This window comes from Homo sapiens, chromosome 18, assembly GCF_000001405.40.
Source record: "Homo sapiens chromosome 18, GRCh38.p14 Primary Assembly".
NCBI classification, from domain to species: domain Eukaryota; kingdom Metazoa; phylum Chordata; class Mammalia; order Primates; family Hominidae; genus Homo; species Homo sapiens.
In genome coordinates, this window is record NC_000018.10 from 63465010 (window position 1) to 63468384 (window position 3375).

Below are 3375 nucleotides of genomic sequence, written 5' to 3' on the forward strand. Positions count from 1 at the left end.
CATGCCCCACTTTCCTCTGGCTCTTTCCTCCCTGGCTAATGATATCTTCGTGTCGTGACTGATGACAGTAGGGAAACACTGGTTTGCTCATCAACTCCTGAAATACAAGAGCTTGTGAAAAGTAGGTTTATGACTAATATCAAGGACACATTATGTGACACAAGAAGAGAAAATGAACCATCTTTGCCATCCTAGCAAGTGACATATATAATTCAGTTAGGGGTATGCTCCATGATGAGGGACTCCAGGAAGGCATCTACCATGGACACCAGTCATGCTCTCCTCAGGGGGGTGAGCATGGTGTGGACCAAGTGAGTCTACATGGTGGTCTGGCTTCGTGCTGAGTCTTTGGGCTTCCCCTTCAAAACCTCCTTTGAAAAGGAAACTGATAATAAATCTTGAGAGAATTACCTTTGGTTCATTCATTTTCTTCCATTCTTTTTTTTTTTTTTTTTTTTTGAGACAAGGTCTTGCTCTGTTGCCAAGGCTGGAGTGCAGTGATGTGATCTCAGCTCACTGCAGCCTCTGCCTCCCAGGTTCAAGTGATTCTCCTGCCTCAGCCTCCTGAGTAGCTGGGATTACAGGTGCATGCCACCATGCCCAGCTAAGTTTTGTATTTTTAGTAGAGACGGGGTTTCACCATGTTGCCCAGGCTCATCTCGAACTCTGGACCTCAAGTGATTCGTCTGCCTCGGCTTCCCAAAGTGCTGGGATTATAGGCATTAGCCACCACACCCGGCCTCCAGTCTTTTTTTTTTTTTAGACAATGGAAGGCAGTATGGTATTTGTACCATCTCACTGAGTTCTGAATGTGACTTTGACTTTATTTCTTACTAGTAATTACTTAAATTTCTAATATCACTTTTCTCATTTGTAAAATGGAGATCATAATACATAACTGACTGATTTATTGTGAGGTTTGAAAGAGATAATACATATATAATTGCTTTGAAGAAAAGGCTGGGTAAACAATAACAACTAATAAACTGCAAAGCACCATAATTATGCTAATATGTGTTGTTGGTCATATTAATGATATTTATTTAATTTGAACTATTAAATGTATACTCCACTCTTTGAAATCTTAATCTCCTTTCTCACTATGAGTAAATTTCATTTTATTCTTGTTTTTCATGTTATAAGACACCATAACCCAAAGGTAGAAAGTGAAAACTTCACATAAATTGTGTGTGTGTGTGTGTGTGTGTGTGAATGTGATATGGTTAATGATTCTTAATTCTTCTCAAGCTTTAAAGACTATCAGTTTTTCTTCCAATTAAAAAATCTTGAAATATATTAATACAAATACAGACAAAAAATTTTCTGTCTATCCCTACTATTGAGGTAAAACCAATCTCTCTGAGGTTTGTAACTTCACTACAGCCTTTAGAGTACAAAAATCATGACAGTTAACATTTTTTGAACATTTACTGGTGGCAGGCAATATTCTAAGCCTTTAGCATGTATTATCTCATTGTGTCCTTGTTATAACCCTATGAGGAATTGCTAATGTCACCTCCATTTTACAGACGAAAGGACTGAGGCAAAGTGAAATGTACTAATTTGTTCAAGGCCATGGTGTCATTAATGGCAGAGTGGGAACCAGCCAGTCTCATGCTAGAATCAGCGCTGACCATTGGACCAACTGTGGTTAGTGCAGAACCTGCCAGAAGCTTGTGATTCTGAAAGTGTGGTCTGTGAACAACCAGTTCTGAACCACCCAAAGGGATTCACATTCCTGGGTCTCACCCTAGACCTCTAAATCCCAGATCTCTGAGGATTGGGGTCTGGAAATGTGAAATTTGATTGTACTTCTTCACCTGTCCTCCACACACATTATTCCTTCTTGATTCTGATGTGCAGTGATGTTGAAGGACCACTAGCATAAGGATCTTTATCTAGTTGGATAAAAAAATAAACCTTTGATTTACTTGCTGTAATGTTTAATTCTTTCTTTATAATTCAAGATATTAAAATAGCAACACCATCTATCATGGACACCACCTCCTGTCCTAACAATCATTGTCTGCACTATGACATTGTGAGAGGTAATTGATTGGTTTCTACTACTAGACTAGGACAAGTTTATTTAATGTGTAGTGTGAAAAGAACTTTGTGAGTTCTAGGAGAGGGAGTAGGGATGTACAGATAAACTGTGGTCCCTGGCCTCCCCATGGCTCAGGGTCTAGACAGGAACCAGGCATGAATGCAAATAATATAAAGGGGTCTTCAAAAAGTTCATCAAAAATGTGTATCATGCAAAAACAATGCATGGATTTCAATTTTTTTGTATCAAAATAAACTCATACTAACTAGTTACAACATGTCTAAACAGGATCTAGTTTGAAGTGCTAAGAAAGATACCAGTTTGAAAAGAGCCCCTATCAAAGCAATGTGAATTCTGCTAAAATTGAAACAAGAGCAAACATCAAATTTGTGGTGAAGCTTGAGTGCAAGAATGGTGAAATCACTGATGCTCTGTGAAAAGTTTACGGAGACAATGCCCTAAAGAAATCAGCAGTTTACAAATAGATAACTCATTTTAAGTAGGGATGAGAAGATATTGAAGATTGTGAAGAAAAAAATTCACCTTGTTTGTGCCCTAATTGAAGAGGACTAATGATTAACAGCACAAACAATAGCTAACACCGTAGACATCTCAGGTGCTTCAGCATACATAATTCTGATTGAAAAATTAAAGCTGAGCAAACTTTCTACTCGATGGGTGCCAAAACTGTTACAGCCAGATCAGCTGCAGACAAGAGGAGAGCTTTCAATTGAAGTTTTAAACAAGTGGGATCAAGATCCTGAAGCATTCTTTGAAGAACTGTTACAGGAAGTGCAACATGGCTTTACCAGTATGACCCTGAATGCAAAGCACCATCACAGCAATGGCTACCAAGAGACAGAAGTGGGCCAGCGAAAGTGGACTGGTCAGGAGCAAAGGTTATCGCAACGGTTTTCTGGGATACTCAATGCATTTTGCTTGTTGACTTTCTGGAGAGCCAAGGAACATTACATCTCCTTATTTTGAGAGCATTCTGAGAAAATCAGCCAAAATGTTATTTAAACACCAGAGAAAGCTTCAGTAGAGAGCCCTTCTCTACCATGACAATGCTCCAGTTTGTTCCTCTCATCAGATGAGGGGACGTGTGCGAGAGTTTCCGTGGGAAATCATTAGGCATCCACCTTACAGTTCTAATTTGGCTCCTTCTGACTTCTTTTTGTTTCCTAATTGTAAAACAACAACAACAACAACAACAAAAATCTTTAAAGGGCAGCCATTTTTCTTCAGCAATAATAAAAAAGGGACTGCATTGACACAAATTCCCAGGACTCTGCTTTCCTCAGAGATGGACTACATGGCTGATATTA

The 3375-nt window shown here is 39.0% G+C and overlaps 1 annotated feature.

Moving 5' to 3' along the window:
- Positions 2176 to 3375: an enhancer, noted in NCBI's record as "BRD4-independent group 4 enhancer chr18:61134418-61135617 (GRCh37/hg19 assembly coordinates)". NCBI's record gives its function as "activates an origin of replication core promoter dependent on BRD2, P300/CBP, MED14 and CDK7 cofactors, and independent of BRD4, by STARR-seq in HCT116 cells {active_cell/tissue: HCT116}" and the evidence as "EXISTENCE:reporter gene assay evidence [ECO:0000049][PMID:35650434]".